Raw genomic sequence first — 12,518 nt, 5'->3', positions numbered from 1 at the left:
ATTAATCATTATGTGGCTTCAGTTGATACCAGTGTTTTATCTCACTACAATTCAGACCTGTTCTTGGAGCAGTAGATCTGCATATCCAACTCCCTGATAGAGGACATTTCCACATAGATGTATTTAGTTTTTTAAACTCACTATGCTCAAAACAGAATTTATTTCTAGTCTCTGTTGCATACCAATAGTCTCTTCTCTTAGTCTCCATGACTGGTACCACTACCCACCTGGTGCTCAGGCTAATAACCTAGCAACTGTAATGAGCTCCTCCTTAATATCTTTCAAATTCACCCTCTCTTTTTTTTTTCAAAGAACCCCCTACCTTAGCATGACAAATATTGAGTTTTGCCTGCATCATTCCATCATTTCTCCTACTGTTAATGTACCCTCCAGTCTGTCCTCACAGCAGCTGGACCGATCTTTAATGCAAATGACATTGGATCATGTTGTTTCCCTACTTAAAATCTTTCATTCATTCCCCCATAGACTTCAAGAAAACCTCAATAATGCTCTTTATAATCTTTCTCACCACTGTCCCTATATATACATTAAGCCGTGATTCTGAGCTATATTGAATACTCTCGTTTCTTTTGCCTTCATATCTTTGCACATGTTGTCTTTCTGCCTGGGTCACACTTCCCTCCATCTTTATCAGAAGGATTCTTGTCCTTCAAAATTCAGCCTGGGCATCTACTCTTTTGGGAAGTCTTCACTTAAGCCCCAGGCTGATTGTGGAGTATATATCCTTCAGGAAGAGTAATTTCTCTTTTTTCTCCACTAGGTGTGAGTTTCTTGAAGGCAGTGGAATATGTCTTTGATTTTTGTGACCACCAGGCTTTAGTGCCTGGCACACAGTAATTGTCCATGATATGTTTGCTGGATATGAGGATGACACAGAATTGAATACATGGCTTTGGTTCTACAACTTCTCATCAAGATTTTAGGAAAGTTATTGTTCCATGCTTCAGTTTCCTCATCTGTAAAATGGGGATTAGCAATGCCTCCTAAAGTTGTGAGGACTAAATGAAAAGTGAATGCAAAAGTCTTTGTAAACAGAGTAGCAATGTACATGAATCATTCTTATAATAAATGCAAACCCATATTTCCCATGCATGTACACATTTTCATATGCGCACATAGTGTGCACATATTATATGCATCTGTGCATCTGTGTTTGTGTTCTTGACTGAATCCATGGAAAGGCAGTTTCCAAACAACTTTCTCTAGATTTCACCGTTTAAAAGTCATGCCGAAATAGGTAATTACTTTTTGACAACTGGTCCAAGTTCTAGATAAAGCAGTTTGTGGCAGTGCCCTCAAATTAATAGTCATTCTGTGAATTCATTATATCCATATGTGCAAATACAAACTCAGTGCAAATGTATAAGGCACTGAATGGATAATGATAACTTGATTACCATTTTCACTATGACTAATACGACGATATCGTATAATAATAAAACAATAATACAGTAGAAATGGTAATGTCTAAGGCACTCTCCTGCCAGTTTTTCCTTTGATTTTCCAATCACTTGGGGCAGTTACCGAAGGCCCTGTTTTCCCTATTTTTCATGTGAATAAACGGGGGCTCCGGGGCTTTATTCATTTAACCTGACTCCTTTCCAACGCTGCCACAGACAGATCAGAATCCTAGGATGGCCTTTCTCCTGTCTTCTTTTTCTTTCCTCTCAGCCGGTATAAGAAGTTTACGCAGAATAGGTGGTTGATAGAAACGAGCCAGAACCAATCAATGCGTAAATTGATCGGTGCTTGTTTATAATACTTTAAGTGCCGCAGTTATTTCTGCAATTCACGGTTGCCTTAAATGTGGAATCCACTAGTCTAACACCAGTACCAAGAGACGTTTCTGGATTTCTTGATTCCCAGAAGGGTAATTGCGTCTCTTCGCAGTGCGCGGTGGCCAGCAGCCTGGCTGCCCTGGGCTCTGAAACGAAGAGCTCCCGGGTCCTTCTTCTCGCCCTCCTGGTGCCCAAGGAGGAAAGGAGGGCGCGGGCTCCTCTTCAGCCTCATCTACCTCCTGCCTCTTGTTCTTCTTTAGAAAGCCAGGTGGCGCTAACCCTCAACCCCTGCTAGAGCTGGAGGATTTCCTTGCTTGCTCCGAGTGGAGCGTAAAGGTGAAGAGCGCACCCCGTGTTGGCACATTGTCTCTGCTTCCTCCGCTCTTTGGAAACATAGATTTGCTTTTTTCTTCTTCCGCACCTGTCGCAGGATGACGGCAACCCTAAAGGAAAACGGAATGTCCTGTGTGCCACATGGAGCTTGGGGAAAGGAAATGATTAAAGCCGTGAAGTTTCCTGGTTCTTCGCGGTGTTTACAGTGGGTTTTGATTCGGGGGAAGAAGAGCCAAAAGAGGTTAAGGTGCCAATCTACCGCATCTTGAATCTGACTGTTGCAGACGAACTGTGGGGCCGGTGGGCACTCGCGCCTGGGTGTGCACGTACCTGTGGGTGCAGGGTCATGTCTCCCTGTGTCGTGTGGGTGGCCTGTTCCTAAGTAACCAAGTATATGCGTACTTATAAAGAAGAAGAAATCTCTCCAGTTGTAAAAGGGCGGCTTTGAGGTTCTCACAGCTGAGGGTAGGAATCTATTCTAGAAGGCACGCATTTCAGTTTTCAAATTTTGTTATTTAAATATTTCCTGTCTTTGAACTACTATTATTTAACAGGGACAGGGGAGAACCTCATTTTACTATTATATTGATTAACTGGATTTAAACCAAAATCATCAAACAAAAACGCTGTTGAAACTTGGAAAAGACTTGGTAATAAAAATGTGGCCATCCACATGTGCTGCTGCTGCAAATACCACCAAATCTGAAATTAAGATGAATTCAATAAAAGTATTTTTTATTCACTAGACTACTAAGAGAATAGAGGGCAATTTTAAGATTTTTACTGAAATGAAAGGAGCACAGACACACAAACACATAGAGCACTCGGCAACATTAATAGTGATGACGGTGTGCCACTAATGCTGCTTTTTTTTTTTTTTTTTCTGACTGAGTCTTGCTCTGTCACCAGACTGGAGAACAGTGGCGCGATCTTGGCTCACTGAAACCTCTGCCTCCCAGGCTCAAGCGATTCTCCTGCCTCAGCCTCCCAAGTAGCTGGGACTACAAGCACGCGCCACCACACCCAGGGTGTGTACTGGGAAGATGACTGGCAGGCAAGATGAAAGTGCTCCTAAATTCTTTAATTTCTCAATGCCCTAATGTTCAAGGAAGCATGATTGGGAGTCCTCAGGAAACTTACAATCAAGGCAGAAGGGGAAGCAAGCACGTCTTACCATGGTAGAACAGGAGAGGGAGAGAGCAAGAGGGGGGAAGTGCCACACACCTTCAAACAACCAGATCTCAGCCAGATGGTGAGAACTCACTATCACAAGAACAACAAGGGGGAAGTCTGCCCCCTGATTCAATTACCTCCTACCAAGCCCCTCCCCTGACATGTGGGGATTACAATTTGAGATAGATTTGGGTGGGGACACAGAGCCAAACCGTAATAACAGTGACTCAAACAACAACACGGCTCTCGGTTACTTCTGAGACTTCCCATCTTGAGTGAGATTCCCAGGGAGAGGCACTGGGGAGAGCATGTGTACTGGGGCACCCTGTTCTTAGTCCACTAAGGCCTGTGACTCAGTGTCAATCCCTGTAGAAGAGTGTGTTTGTTCTTGTCCATAGCACATGGCATTGGTAGGTTTCCCCACCGCCCTGTATTGCAGGCCTAGAAGTGTAAAAACTGTAATTCCCAGTCACTTTGCTGTAAGAGATCAGGATGCAGTTTAGGTTCTGATCATGAAGTGCGGTCACGTAGGATTTGAAAGGCAGTACAAAGGAAGCTGCTCTCCCTCTTCAGCTGTGTAGGTGTACGAGAGGGCTCTGGGAGACATAAGTATGGGCAGTGGCCAGTTAGGCCACTAACTAGACTCCATGGCCCACTGTCTAGTCTCCAGCCTCGTGGGTGTAGGGGGCTCTGATGGTTGCCGCTGACTCTACTCCTCCAGCCTTTCCACTTCATACCTCCTACTAAATCCCTCTGATCTTGGCAGATCTAGAGAGTTTTCTGTTTCCTGTATTGAACCGTGACTGACACAGGAAACAAGCCTGCTTGGGTGCCTCATGCCTGAGGTCTGGATTAGTGTGGGCATGGAGTAGTGTAGACTCTGCAGGTGTTTAGATGGCTGTCCTCAGCTGTGGGTAGTTTTGGGGTGGGGGAATGAGTCCAATCCAGGAGAGGTCGTCAACAATCCCCAACCAGGAGGCTGAAGGGACAAACATTCTGGATGGCTCTCATGCTGCCTCTTTCACCATGAGGCCTCACTGCTTCTTTTTCTGACTTTCAAACCAAAGGAGGAAAAACAGCAACTTTTTAGAGTGTTTAGGCAAAAATTTTTGCTAAGGCTCAATGACTGACTATTCTGCCTGTTTTGATACTTGATTTTATATTGTCCTCTTTTTTTTATTTAAAATAAAAATGTTTGAGACAGGATCTCACTCTGTCACCCAGGCTGGAGGGCAGTCACACAACCACAGCTCACTGCAGCCTCAACCTCACAGGCTCAAGCGATCCTCCTGCCTCAGCCTCCTAGTAGCTGGGACTACAGGCACATGCAGCCACATCCAGCTAATTAAAAAAAAAAATTGTAGAGATGGAGTCTCACTATGTTGCCCAGGCTTGTCTCAAACTCCTGGGCTCAAGTGATCCTCCCACCTCAGCCTTTCAAAGTGCTGGGATTACAGGTATGAGCCACCGCACCCAGCCTTGTTCTAGTTTACGCTCTTATATCTGGACATTCACTCCCCAGTAGGCACTAAACTACTTAAGGTAAGATGGTGAGTTTTCACTTTTCAGCCTGAGGGTTGAATGACAAGTTACTGGGGAAAGTCAGCTTTGTTCAGTGCAAGCGGAGAGCTGGGTGGGCATTGCACATCTCCTCTGCAACATTACAGTCATTTCCTCTGCCCACCTTGCTGTCTAAACCCCACCTTAGAACCCTGTACTTGCAGATATTACTCAGGAGCTGATTCCTTGACTCTTCAATTGTTCCTGAGCAGAGATAAGACTGAATATATGCCACTTAAGTAATTTTTGTCCAGAGGGAATTGTTTGGTAACTGTTAACATTGCTCACAAATACATGGTACCGATCTCTGCAGGAGGAGTACACATTCCCACTCTGTGGCAGGTGGTTGTGACCATATGACTGGCACTCAGCAGTGAAATGTGAGTGGAAACAACTGCCCTTGGTTTTTAGTCCCTCTACCACCATGTCAGCAACGATACAGAGAAGTGACTCATCAGCCCAGATCCCGGAGCAAAGATCATGTGCATGCAGTGGGGCACAGGAAACCAGGATGGACTTGTTGCTAAAACTGTTAAAAAAAAAAAAAAAGAGAGAGAGAGAGAGAGAATTCTGTATTAGTTCACTTATTTCTGTGAAATAGTTAGGATTTAAGAGGCCTAATAAAGTGTGCCTCTCATCCCAGCCAGAGTTTGGTGACAGGGATCAGATTGACAGATTAAAAATGTCAGCTGTATTACTGATAAGAGCTAGATTGAGAGAGTTGCTGCAATGCCTGTGAATACTCCATCAGCTGTTAGCCACCCAGTCCCTGGCATAATGGGACACTACAGGCCTCCTCCTGCAGGGCAGGTCCCACATCCCAGGGCAGGGAGAGGACGGGACACTTGGTTCAGAAGGAGCCACAGGAGGGACCAGACTGGGCAGACTCCTTTCCTGTGGAGTTAACTCCACAGCAAGACCTGCCCCTGAAAACTTTAGTCCAGGGCAATAGAGGCTTCCAGAGGGAATTAGTTACAGTAGAACTGTATTACTCTTTGTATCTTGGAGAACATGACAGAAATAGAAATATTAGGAGAGGTTATAAACATGTTAATTTTTGTTTCATTTTTATTCTTGCATATTTTAAAGCCTAGGGGGAAACAGTCAAGTGACAGATCAAGGCATTGAAATAAAAGTTTAAGCAATGGTAATCCTAACCATTAGCACTTTCCTGCAATCGGGCAGCAACTCCACGTGAAATGGGAACTTGTGGCCTGAACATTAATATGACCAACTTTCTGCCAAAATGTCCATGACCCGCAGGGCCTGGCTAGTTGTTGTTAATTGGTGGCCTGTGGCTTCCAGTGCTGAGCTGCCTTCTGGTTCCTGGGCCTCTGAGGGAAATGGGGTTGTTTTGAAATCCAGTGTTCTTAATGAAGCAATTCCTGAACCAAAAATGTGTGAGAAATTAACCTAAAAGTGAAAAAGAAACTGGTCTATTGAAAAGTCAGTGACCCTTCCAGGGTTGCTTTTAAAAGAATAGGTTTTGTTTTACTTGACACTTTGGGAAGTGATTTAATAAGCCATAATGTCAAAGAAAATTATCCAGTGTGTTTCATGTCCTGCAGCCTGGAATATCTAAACTAAATCCTTGCAAATGAGCATCATTATTAGTGAAATTTTGTTGCAAAATTTGGCGTGGACAATTTAGAATCGTCAGACTTCTAGGCACTGTCATGGAATTGGCAAGATTCAAGGGATTTTTCTGATTTAATGACATTTTCTTTATTGTCCCCATAATCACCTGCTTTATGAACTGTGGCTAGAACTGATGTTGCAGCTGGTAATTTTCTTAGAACCCAAATGCATTTATATTTTTCCGTCTTTTTATTTCCATCATTTCTGGGAATTGTTAGTAGATGGAATAAAAAGAGAATACATTATAAACAATTCAAAACACCAAAAACAAAATTCCTTGGACCTTTTACAGATACCACACATGCAAATAAATGTGGTTTTGCATTCCAATGGCATTCAAGTGGGGATTACATTTTCCTCATTAACCTCTTTCTTAAGCAAACAGCATGGTTTTTCAAGTATGTTTTATCTAAATCTAGTTTGACATTTAAAATTAATTCACACTGACTCAGTTCAAGTGAAGAGGTAGAATGTCTTCTTCTTTTGATCCCAGCAATTGTGCAATCCTGGTTGAATTGTACCAAAGTAGGAATGCCTACTATTTTAGGATGAAATCAGAAGATTGATTGTATTGCTTGTAAAACCAAAACAAATGAACAAACAAACAAAAAAAAAAAATTAGAAACGCAGCATATGTTTTTTCCTGAACTACTGAGGAAAGAAGTGGAAAAATGGACTCATGAAGTATACTTCAGATGTGAACATGATTGCTCTCCTTATGACAAATCATTTATAAAATGAATGTACTTATTTCTAATTAAAAGAAACTTAGATCTGTTTTCAATTAGTCATAACCAATAATTCCTCTGCTAATATGTGGACCTTAATTTGAAGCAGTGGGAATCTTCTCTTTTCTCCAGGAAGTCAACAGAATTGCTTAGAAAGACTGCACAGTTTTGGTAGGAACAGAAACATAACTTGATTATTTTTTAAAAAGCTTCTGTAAACACTTATGCATGAATCTATTATCTTTGCCCTGAAACAGAACAAAAGCATACATTGTTTTCAGTGTTGATATTTGGCAGTGGATGATGAAATAATTGTGTATATTTAGGTATGTCCTTCCATGTAAAATGAATGAGACATTAAAATAACACTCAGTCTGAATTAAACCCACCAACTTTAAGAAACGTTGTATCAGCTGTCTTCACTGTGCTATTAGCTGTGTCATGTTTTGTCAAGCACTCTTTTTCATTCTGCCATCTTTTCATGCATTGTTTTCAAACTCCAGTAATCCTAGCTCAAGATGGCATGAGTTAGAGTTGGAGTAAGGACCAAGGCTAGCTTCCCTAGTGTCCACAGTTTCAAAACACACTCATTAATGTTATTTGACATCATTTTTCTACATGTGCTTTCTTTGGAAAGTGGAAAAATACACCACTGAGAGGGTTTGTCAGATGAAACCATATTGCAAAACATTTGCAAAACTGAATTATTGACAAAATGTATTTCATCCCAAAAGGGCCTGCTTGATTGAAAGCAGTTGTAGTGTTTCAACATGAACAAGTTGCTTATCCTCTCTGTTGCCTATGTGTTTGTGGATTCTGCAGACCATACCTCTGAACTTTGACTGTCCCCAGATAGCAGTTTCTACACAGCTAACTCAGAGCAGATAAGAACTAGAATTTTAGAACGCTCTATTTCTAGGCCTTTTGTTCTTTGAGTGAACATTCAAGAAAAGCACATCCTCATGTTCTTCCATGGTTACCTGTAATTCATAAGAGGCTGATTTCCCCCTGCATGCCCATAGTGTCCAACATCACCTACCAAGTTAAATAATCATGCTTGGCCAATCCCAGAATGGACTGAGATTTCCATGATGCAGCTGTGCCTTGTTCAGGGTCCCTTGAAGAGATGCTCATTTTGAGTCACGTGACTGTAGGGAGGACTTGCCACTTATTCCTAAATGTCCCAGTTTAGCCAACACTTAGCTCAGCTCAGAAAATAACACCAAAATCAGCTCTGCCACTAACAAGAAAAAGACCATTTTTTAAATTTATTTATTTATTTATTTATTTATTTATTTATTTAGACAGAGTCTCACTCTATAGCCCAAGCTGGAGTGCAATGGTGTAATCTCGGCTTACTGCAACTCTGCCTCTGGGGCTCAAGCGATTCTCATGCCTCAGCCTCCCAAGTAGCTGGGACCACAGGTGCGTGCCACCACACCCAGCTAATTTTTTCATTTTAGTAGAGATGGGGTTTCACCATGTTGCCCAGGATGATCTCGAACTCCTGAACTCAGTGATCTGCCCACCTCGGCCTCCCAAAGTGCTGGGATTACATGCATGAGCCACCATGCCCAGCCAAAATAGGCCATTTCTATGGAGAAAGGAGAAAAATAGGCTTATGGAAAATTGAATTTGCATACTTGATGATAATTAACAACTTAAATTTAAAATTTAAAAAAAGCCCAAATATGTGGTGTATATGATATGTGCTGAGAGGGAATTTTAAAAAATTCTAATGTATTTCACATCTCAATTGCCTTTTGTCTAAGAATTAACATCCTGAACACTGACTAAAAAAGGTGAAAAATAATATTTTATTTTCTCATTTTAAATTTACTTCCTTTGTCAAATTACTCTCAATGAATAAGGAAACCCATCAAGAGCAACATGGTTCATCTTTATTTGGAATTTCAGAAAAGCTAATGTCCCAAATCATGTCTTCTGAGATTTTCAAAGGACTTTTGCTGTCTAGCTTCATCTTGTTTACTGATGTTAGAGCTGTGTTGAGATTAATATCAACAATCAGAAAGTAATATCATGGTTCTGGTTGTCATTATCCTGTTTAGACATGCTAGAACTAGATTGCTTGTGTTGAAGTGTAATGGACTGGAGAAAAGAGGCATTCAAAATCTTAATGGTGAGAGCTTCAACTATCCAGCCATCTGCCAGATGTCTCATTTCCTAAATTCAGAACATCTGATAAGTCCATGATTTGCCTCAATTAGTATTCTCAGCCCTGCCTGCACATTAGAATAGTCCCAGAATTTAAAATAAAAAATTGACAGGCAGGCTCCACCCCATACTAATTAAAGCAGACTCTCTCAGGGTGGGGCCTCAGACTTTTTTTCTTTTTAAGCTCCCCAAGTGATTTGAATGTGCAGCCAGGGTAAGAATCAGTAACCCAAATGATAATTTCATCTTTCAGAAGGGAGACGGAGAGGAAGTGAGGAGGAGGATTAACACCCTGCTTCTAATTCTGGCCAACAAGGAGGCCCTGAATGGAAAATCAGAAGTGACAGGAACCCTGGAAGAGGGCCACCTGGCCATCAGAAAATTCCAGAGGGATGTGGTCACTGCCAGACACACACTCTGTTAGTCTGAGCCTAAAAATATTTCAGGAAATTATAAAAGCTTGACTTTGACACCCCAGTCTGAGATTCCAAAAAGAAGCAGAGGAGATTCCTCAAAATAAAATTCTGATGCTACTATTGTAAATGGTCCAACGCAGGAAGGAAAAGAAGAAGAAGAAGAAAAGAAAAAGGAAGGAGGTAGCCAAAAAGATTTAGTGTCTTTGGGTAGGAAGCTGTCTGCTGAGATCAGATATATTTTTAAATGGTGTGTGTTAAATGCAAAAGCTGATCTAGAAAAACAAGCATGGAAAAAAAAATCTGTCAAGAATATGTGAGAAGAGTCAGAAAGTTTAAAAGGAGGTTAACATTCTAGATGATGAAAAGGGCTGTTTGAATCCAAAGCAAGAAAGCCTACGATACATGGCCAGCTGTGATGGCATTATGTCAGTGGTGAAGGATGCAAAATGGAACACTCTCAGACTCTTTGGTAAGAAAGAATTTAAGGTTAAAATCACCTAGGAGCAGATTCTAACTGTCATAAATAAGTTTAAACACTGGCCTGGAAATAACAAACCAAAATGTAAATAGAAGTTTCAGATGAAATTGCTTTAATCTTTAAAAAATATGGAGAATGAAAGAGATGCCTAAACACTGCCCAACATACTTTTTCAAGAGGAAAGAAGAGAAATTCTCTGAACTACAGACTCCAGGGCCTGCTGATTCTTCAGTTACATAATTCTAGGATTTACTTTAAAATGCAGTTTGAATGCAAGATTTGCTAAATTAAATCATGCCTTTGACATAGTTTATGAAGAGAGTAGAGAGACAGGGAATCATACAATTTTTTTTGTTGTTTTTGAGACAGAGTCTCATTCTGTTGCCCAGGCTGGAGTGCGGTGGCACAATCTCGGCTCACTGCAACCTCCACCTCCCAAGTTCAAGAGATGCTCATGCCTCAGCCTCGCGAGTAGCTGGGATTACAGGTGTGTGCCACCACACCTGGCTAATTTTTGTATTTTTAGTAGAGGCGGGGTTTCACCATGTTGAACAGGCTGGTCTCAAACTCACGACCTCAAGTGATCTGCCTGTCTCAGCCTCCAAAAGTGCTGGGATTGCAGGCATGAGCCACAGGGCCCAGCCACAATTTTTAACAATCTAATTCAACTTCAGTAGTAGTTCATAATCTTTGAGAATCAGATAAAAATCTATGTATCCTCTTGAAGTGGTTAGATAGTATGGTATAACAAACTATCGCAAAACTTAATGGCTTAAAACAACTACCATTAAATTGCTCGTAATTCTGCAATTTGTGCTGGGCCCAGCTGGTAGTTCTTCTGCTGGGTTTGTCTGGGATCACTCAGGCAGCCTCAGTCATCTAATGGCTTACATGAGGCTGAATGGCCCAGATAGCCTCAGTCATGTTTGGTACTTGTTGTTGGCTGTCAGCTGGGCCATGTGTTTCCAGCAAGACAGCTAGGTCTGATTTACTTGGTAGTGACTAATTCACTTGGTAGACAATGAAAGCAAAACTTGCAAGGCTTCTTGAGACCAAGGCTGAGAAGTCACATGACATCATTTTTGCCTCATTCCTTTTTAAAAAAAAAATTTATCCTATATATAATATATCATATATATTACATATAATGTAATATATAATATATATAATATATTATATATTACATTATATGTAATATATATGATATATTATATATTATATAATATATAATATATAATATATAATATATTATATAATATATAATATATAATATATAATATATTATATAATATATAATATATAATATATTATATATTATATATTATATTTATAATATATTATATATTATATTTATAATATTATATATAATATATATAATATTATATATAATATATAATATAATATATAATATCTAAAATATACATAATGTATATTATATATGTATATAATATATAATATATAAAATATACATAATATATATTATATATAATATATTGTACATATAATATATATTATATGTATAATATATAATATATAATATGTATTACATGTATATAATATATAATATGTATTATATGTATATAATATATAATATGTATTATATGCATATAATATATAATATGTATTATATGCATATAATATATAATATATATTATACATCATGTTATATATAATATATAATATATATTATATGCATATAATATATATTACATGCATATAATATATACTACATAAAATATACATAATGTATAATATATAAAATATACATAATATATAACATATAAAATATACATAATATATAATATATATTATATGTATATAATATATAATATATATTATATGTATATAATATATATTATATATTATATGTATATAATATATATTATATATCATATGTATATAATATATAATATATATTATATGTATATAATATATAATGTATAAAATATACATAATATATAATATATAATATATATTATATATTATATAATATGTTAAATATATTATGTATAAAATATATAATATATAAAATATACATTACATAGAAAATATATGATATATAAAATATATATTATATAGAAAATATATAATATATAAATATATATTATATATAATATAGAAAATATATATAATATATAATATAGAAAATATATTATATATTATATATAATGTAGAAAATATTCTATATTCTATATTATATATTATATATTGTATATTA

General features: G+C 38.4%; 1 protein-coding gene across 2 annotated transcripts in view, besides 1 other annotated feature; it reads left to right on the top strand.

Moving 5' to 3' along the window:
- Positions 1 to 12,518, top strand: part of SCRG1 (stimulator of chondrogenesis 1) — a 134,444-nt gene that overhangs the window by 22,513 nt on the left and 99,413 nt on the right. The gene's annotated exons all lie outside the window — the stretch shown is intronic.
- Positions 6,602 to 7,176: an enhancer, noted in NCBI's record as "NANOG hESC enhancer chr4:174410607-174411181 (GRCh37/hg19 assembly coordinates)". NCBI's record gives its function as "activates a minimal SCP1, AML or CMV promoter by ChIP-STARR-seq in primed H9 embryonic stem cells {active_cell/tissue: H9 hESC(primed)}" and the evidence as "EXISTENCE:reporter gene assay evidence [ECO:0000049][PMID:30033119]".

This window comes from Homo sapiens, chromosome 4 (assembly GCF_000001405.40).
Source record: "Homo sapiens chromosome 4, GRCh38.p14 Primary Assembly".
Lineage (NCBI taxonomy): Eukaryota > Metazoa > Chordata > Mammalia > Primates > Hominidae > Homo > Homo sapiens.
Note: the sequence above shows the minus strand (reverse complement) of the source record. Positions and strands in the feature narration are given on the sequence as shown.